The sequence below is a fragment of the Homo sapiens genome, chromosome 3 (assembly GCF_000001405.40).
Source record: "Homo sapiens chromosome 3, GRCh38.p14 Primary Assembly".
Taxonomy (NCBI): domain Eukaryota; kingdom Metazoa; phylum Chordata; class Mammalia; order Primates; family Hominidae; genus Homo; species Homo sapiens.
In genome coordinates, this window is record NC_000003.12 from 65,120,196 (window position 1) to 65,123,881 (window position 3,686).

The window sequence follows — 3,686 nt, forward strand, 5'->3', positions numbered from 1 at the left end:
GGTCTTAGCAAACGGCACACCAGGAGATTATATCCCGCACATGGCTCGAAGGGCCCTATGCCCACGGAGCCTCACTCATTGCTAGCACAGCAGTCTGAGATCAAACTGCAAGGCAGCAGCGAAGCTGGGGGAGGGGTGCCCGCCATTGCTGAGACTTGAGCAGGTAAAGCGGCCGGGAAGCTCGAACTGGGTGGAGCCCACCGCAGCTCAAGGAGGCCTGCCTGCCTTTGTAGACTCCACCTCTGGGGGCAGGGCATAGCCAAACAAAGGTCAGCAGAAACCTCTGCAGACTTAAATGTCCCTGTCCAACAGCTTTGAAGAGAGTAGTGCTTTGCCCAGCACGCAGCTGGAGATCTGAGAACGGACAGACTGCCTCCTCAAGTGGGTCCCTGATCCCCGAGTAGCCTAACTGTGAGGCATCCCCCAGTAGGGGCAGACTGACACCTCACACGGCAAGGTACTCCTCTGAGACAAAACTTCCAGAGGAATGATCAGGCAACAACATTTGCTGTTCACCAATATTCACTGTTCTGCAGCCTCCACTGCTGATACCCAGGAAAACAGGGTCTGGAGTGGACCTCCGGAAAACTCCAACAGACCTGCAACTGAGGGTCCTGACTGTTAGAAGGAAAACTAACAAACAGAAAGGACATCCACACCAAAACCCCATCTGTACATCACCATCATCAAAGACCAAAGGTAGATAAAACCACAAACATGGGGAAAAAACAGAGCAGAAAAACTGAAAATTCTAAAAATCAGAGCACCTCTCCTCCTCCAAAGGAACGCAGCTCCTCACCAGCAATGGAACAAAGCTGGACAGAGAATGACTTTGATGAGTTGAGAGAAGAAGGCTTCAGATGATCAAACTTCTCTGAGCTAAAGGAGGAAGTTTGAACCCATGGCAAAGAAGTTAAAAACCTTGAAAAAAGATTAGATGAATGGCTAACTAGAATAATCAATGCAGAGAAGTCCCTAAAGGACCTGATGGAGCTGAAAACGATGGCACGAGAACTACGTGACAAATGCACAAGCTTCAGTAGCCAATTTGATCAACTGGAAGAAAGGTTATCAGTGATGGAAGATCAAATGAATGAAATGAAGCGAGAAGAGAAGTTTAGAGAAAAAAGAATAAAAAGAAATGAACAAAGCCTCCAAGAAATATGGGACTATGTGAAAAGACCAAATCTACGTCTGATTGGTGTACCTGAAAGTGATGGGGAGAATGGAACCAAGTTGGAAAACACTCTGCAGGATATTATCCAGGAGAACTTCCCCAAACTAGCAAGGCAGGCCAACTTTCAAATTCAGGAAATACAGACAATGCCACAAAGATACTCCTCAAGAAGAACAACTCCAAAACACATAATTGTCAGATTCACGAAAGTTGAAATGAAGGAAAAAATGTTAAGGGCAGCCAAAGAGAAAGGCCGCGTTACCCACAAAGGGAAGCCCATCAGACTAACAGCTGATCTCTCGGCAGAAACTCTACAAGCCAGAAGAGAGTGGGGGCCAATATTCAACATTCTTAAAGAAAAGAATTTTCAACCCAGAATTTCATATCCAGCCAATCTAAGCTTCATAAGTGAAGGAGAAATAAGATCCTTTATAGACAAGCAAATGCTAATAGATTCTGTCACCACCAGGCCTGCCCTAAAAGAGCTCCTGAAGGAAGCACTAAACATGGAAAGGAACAACCAGTACCAGCCACTGCAAAAACATGCCAAATTGTAAAGACCAATGGGGCTAGGAAGCGACTGCATCAACTAATGAGCAAAATAACTAGCTAACATCATAATGACAGGATCAAATTCACACATAACAATATTAACCTTAAATGTAAATGGGCTAAATGCTCCAATTAAAAGACACAGACTGGCAAATTGGATAAAGACTCAAAACCCATCAGTGTGCTGTATTCAGGAAACCCATCTCACATGCAGAGACATGCATAGGCTCAAAATAAAGGGTTGGAGGAAAATCTACCAAGCAAATGGAAAATAAAAAAAGGCAGGGGTTGTAATCCTAGTCTCTGATAAAACAGACTTTAAACTAACAAAGATCAAAAGGACAAAGAAGGCCATTACATAATGGTAAAGGGAACAATTCAACAAGAAGAGCTATTCTAAATACATATGCACCCAATACAGGAGCACCCAGATTCATAAAGCAAGTCCTTAGAGACCTACAAAGAGACTTAGACTCCCACACAATAATAATGGGAGACTTTAATACCCCACTGTCAACATTAGACAGATCAAGGAGACAGAAAGTTAACAAGGATATCCAGGAATTGAACTCAGCTCTGCACCAAGTGGACCTAATAGACATCTACAGAACTCTCTACCCCAAATCAACAGAATATACATTCTTTTCAGAACCACACCACACTTATTGCAAAACTGACCACATAGTTGGAAGTAAAGCACTCCTCAGCAAATGTAAAAGAACAGAAATTATAACAAACTGTCTCTCAGATCACAGTGCAATCAAACTAGAACTCAGGATTAAGAAACTCACTCAAAACCACTCAACTACATGGAAACTGAACAACCTGCTTCTGAATGACTACTGGGTACATAATGAAATGAAGGCAGAAATACAGATGTTCTTTGAAAGCAATTAGAACAAAGACACAACAAACCAGAATCGCTGGGACACATTTAAAGCAGTGTGTAGAGGGAAATTTATAGCACTAAATGCCCATGAGAGAAAGCAGGAAAGATCTAAAATTGACACCCCAACATCAAAATTAAAAGAACTAGAGAAGCAAGGGGAATGACATTCAAAAGCTAGCAGAAGGCAAGAAATAACTAAGATCAGAGCAGAAATGAAGGAGATAGAGACACAAAAAACCCTTCAAAAAAAAAAAACCCTTCCATGTAGTTGAGCGGTTTTGAGTGAGTTTCTTAATCCTGAGTTCTAGTTTGATTGCACTGTGATCTGAGAGACAGTTTATTATAATTTCTGTTCTTTTACATTTGCTGAGGAGTGCTTTACTTCCAACTATGTGGTCAATTTTGGAATAACTGCAGTGTGGTGCTGAAAAAATCTATGAATCCAGGAACTGGTTTTTTGAAAAGATCAACAAAATTGATAGACTTCTAACAAGACTAATAAAGAAGAAAAGAGAGAAGAAACAAATAGATGCAATAAAAAATAATAAAGGGGATATCACCACCGATCCCACAGAAATACAAAGTACCATCAGAGAATACTATAGACAACTCTATGCAAATAAACTTGGAAATCTAGAAGAAATGGATAAATTCCTCAACACATATACCATCCCAAGACTAAACCAGGAAGAAGTTGAGTCTCTGAATAGACCAATAACAGGCTCTGAAATTGAGGCAATAATTAATAGCCTACCAACCAAAAAAAGTTCAGGACCAGATGGATTCACAGCCGAATTCTACCAGAGGTAAAAGGAGGAGCTGGTACCATTCCTTCTGAAACTATTCCAATCAATTGAAAAAGAGGGAATCCTCCCTAACTCATTTTATGAGGCCAGCATCATCCTGATACCAAAGCTGGGGAAAGACACAACAAAAAAAGAATTTTAGACCAATATCCCTGATGAACATCAATGCAAAAATCCTCCATAAAATACTGGCAAACTGAATCCAGCAGCACATCAAACAGCGTATCCACCATGATCAAGTGGGCTTCATCCCTGGGATGCA

The 3,686-nt window shown here is 41.6% G+C and overlaps 1 annotated feature.

Moving 5' to 3' along the window:
* Window positions 2,054-2,223: an enhancer, noted in NCBI's record as "experimental_70913 CRE fragment used in MPRA reporter constructs". NCBI's record gives its function as "activates a minimal promoter by MPRAs in K562 erythroleukemia cells, with activity observed for the non-introgressed 3:65108009 variant allele {active_cell/tissue: K562}" and the evidence as "EXISTENCE:reporter gene assay evidence [ECO:0000049][PMID:34662402]".